We start from the raw sequence: 1,862 nt of genomic DNA, 5'->3' as shown, positions 1-1,862 counted from the left end.
AGTGGATTTTACAAACATGAGATATAGAAAAATATTCTTTAAATCTTGTGGGTGGTTCAGCACTTTAACCCTGATTTTATTCAAGCCTAATTAACCTTTTTACATTTTATTTTATTATTTATTTTAGAGACAGGGTCTTGCTCTTTCAACCAGGCCAGAGTGCAGTGGTACCATCATAACTCACTGCAGCCTCCTGATTCACCTTGTTACACATACGACAAGGTTATGTGAAGAGTTACTGATAGATTACTAAGCTCTATTATGTTAATAAATATGAAATCATTCCCTAGAAATTTCATTCTAAGTGCTCCTTTTCTAAATTGCCTAGTTACCTGAATGAAAAAAATTCATTTCGTCACTGCACTTTGCTCAATTTTTTCCTATCTTGAATGTAAATCATAAAAATGAAATTGTCATATTGCACCTAATCATTTTACAAGATGACAGTAATTGTCTTTATTTATATGCTTTTTTAATTAATTGTAAGTTACTTTTGAATATCTCTGATTTTACAAAGAAAATTTAAGAGACATCAGTAGTAAATCACAAAATAAATAGGAATATTATCACTGAAGATCTAAGTATGTGGATATTTGTTATAATTTGAATTGTGTCCTCCACGAAATTTGCATGTTGAAACAGGGCCTTTAAGGAGGTAATTAACTTAAAATGACATTCTCAGTGTGTGCCCTGTATTAGTTTGTTTTCACACCGCTGACAAAGACATACCAAAGACTGGGCAATTTACAAAAGAAAGAGGTTTAATTGGACTTACAGTTCCATGTGGTTGGGGAAGCCTCACAATCATGGTGGAAGGCAAGGAGGAGCAAGTCACATTTTACATGGATGGCAGCAGGCGAAGAGAGAGCTTGTGCAGGGAGACTCCTGTTTTTCAAAACCATCAGATTTCGTGAGACTTATTCACTGTCATGAGAACAGCATGAGAAAGACCTGCCCCATGATTCAATTACCTCCCATCAGGTCCCTCCCAAAATACATGGGAATTCAAGATGAGATTTGGGTGGGGACACAGCCAAACCATATCAGGCTCTAATCCTGTCTGACTGATGCCCTCCTAAAAAGAGGAGATTAGGACATAGACATGTATAGAGTAAAGGCCATGAGAAGCCACAAGACAAAGTGGCCATCTGCAAGACAAGGACAGAGGGCTCGGAAGAAACAAACCCTGCTGAGACCTTGATCTTGGACTTCCAGCTTCCAGCTATGAGGGAATACATTTTTGTTGTTTAAGCCACCCAGTCTGTGGTATTTTGCTATGGCAGCTCAGCAAACGAATACAATCTTCTATAACTGTGTTTAAAGCCAGGTTATTTCCTTGTGAGTTTATAGAGGCCTAGGACTAAGATTGGATTCATCTATGCTTCCTCATCATCTAAGCAGAGCCTGGCCCAGAGTAGGTGTATGGGAAATGTTTGTTGAATTTAACTGAATAAACACAAACTGTGTTTTGATCACGGCAGTGGCAGAGCAGCTGGCTGCCAGCCTGGCTCTTTCCGGCTACCACCTAAAGTTTCTAGACTGTTGTTTGTCTAGTTCTTCCTAAGTGAAAATGGCTTTTTTCTTTTTTTTTTGGCTCATTCTGATTATAAAAGCAGAGGTAAAAGCATACATGCATAGAAATGTGTGCTCATTGTAAAAATTATCTGGTAACGCATTAAAGTGTGAACAAGAAAGTAAAACTCACCCAGAAGTTCCCCACCCAAAGCAACAATGATTCAAATTTTGGTGTATACATTTTGCTCAGGGAAAAATATACCTAAGGGAAGCATATTTGGGGACCATATCAATATGGTTATCAATTTCTCTCTAATGAAAAAAGGCATGATTTATACAGCATATGT

At 37.5% G+C, this 1,862-nt stretch overlaps 1 annotated feature.

Moving 5' to 3' along the window:
• Window positions 444–1,002: an enhancer, noted in NCBI's record as "OCT4-NANOG hESC enhancer chr14:63527728-63528286 (GRCh37/hg19 assembly coordinates)". NCBI's record gives its function as "activates a minimal SCP1, AML or CMV promoter by ChIP-STARR-seq in primed H9 embryonic stem cells {active_cell/tissue: H9 hESC(primed)}" and the evidence as "EXISTENCE:reporter gene assay evidence [ECO:0000049][PMID:30033119]".

Source organism: Homo sapiens, chromosome 14, assembly GCF_000001405.40.
Source record: "Homo sapiens chromosome 14, GRCh38.p14 Primary Assembly".
NCBI classification, from domain to species: domain Eukaryota; kingdom Metazoa; phylum Chordata; class Mammalia; order Primates; family Hominidae; genus Homo; species Homo sapiens.
This window is presented reverse-complemented; position numbering and strand designations above follow the sequence as displayed.